This window comes from Homo sapiens, chromosome 5 (assembly GCF_000001405.40).
Source record: "Homo sapiens chromosome 5, GRCh38.p14 Primary Assembly".
Lineage (NCBI taxonomy): Eukaryota > Metazoa > Chordata > Mammalia > Primates > Hominidae > Homo > Homo sapiens.
This window is the reverse complement of record NC_000005.10, coordinates 154541043-154541862: the sequence shown is the minus strand read 5'-3', so window position 1 is coordinate 154541862 and position 820 is coordinate 154541043. Positions and strand designations below refer to the sequence as shown.

The window sequence follows — 820 nt, the reverse complement described above, 5'->3', positions numbered from 1 at the left end:
AAATAGGTTCCAGGTGCCACAGACAGGAAACACGGGGCCCTGAGGGCTCCCTCCCCAGGCCCCTCTCAGCCTGCCCCTCTCTGTTCCTCCCCTCGCCTCCTGGTGCCCACCGACACACAGATCTCTTTCACCTCCAACTGCAAGAACCCGGCAGCTGATTTAGGAGTGCGCTCAGGGCCCAGAATGTAAACCGTTTCTCACCAGGAATGTGTAAACAACCCATAAAGCAAAGGATTTGGGGCCTGGTCACGTGGCCCAGCTGCCCATAAAACCAAAGCATTGATCTCCGCTCTCCAGCAAGCCTCTAAGCCACGGGAATGATGGAGGGGGTGCGTCTTGGAAACCTGTAATCTTCCACCATACATCTCAGGTGGCATGTTTGAAGTCCTAGGATGAGTTATTTATATTATTTTTGCAACATGTACTGAAAGGGCATTAGCCAAAACTCCTGGCAATGGGGCTTACAGGGGCCTGGCCACTTAAAAAAATAGGGCGGACCAACGGGTCCCCCTAGCAAGTAACTCATGAGGTGGATTTTCTTTGGGTAGCCAGATAATCAAAGCCAGATCATCTTGCCCAGACTTCCCCAAATCCGGGTTGTTCAAGGATCACCTTCCCAACTTCTGCCGTATTGGTGTACCGCTTGATCTGTTATTCACTTCATGCTTTTTATTTTAAATCGCTACTTTTTACTTGGCTTCATTCCAAACAATATCCACAAAATCACATGTTTGCTATCTTAGTTTTATTTTTTCTCTTATACGTTAAAATCTATTCATAATTTTAAATAACAAATATTCACCTTGTACCACGAAAAATC

At 46.7% G+C, this 820-nt stretch overlaps 2 annotated features.

The window, feature by feature from the left end:
• Positions 1 to 503: an enhancer, noted in NCBI's record as "H3K4me1 hESC enhancer chr5:153920920-153921422 (GRCh37/hg19 assembly coordinates)". NCBI's record gives its function as "activates a minimal SCP1, AML or CMV promoter by ChIP-STARR-seq in naive H9 embryonic stem cells {active_cell/tissue: H9 hESC(naive)}" and the evidence as "EXISTENCE:reporter gene assay evidence [ECO:0000049][PMID:30033119]".
• Positions 60 to 354: an enhancer, noted in NCBI's record as "tiled region #8942; K562 Activating non-DNase unmatched - State 20:ReprD". NCBI's record gives its function as "activates a minimal TATA promoter and a strong SV40 promoter by Sharpr-MPRA in K562 cells {active_cell/tissue: K562}" and the evidence as "EXISTENCE:reporter gene assay evidence [ECO:0000049][PMID:27701403]".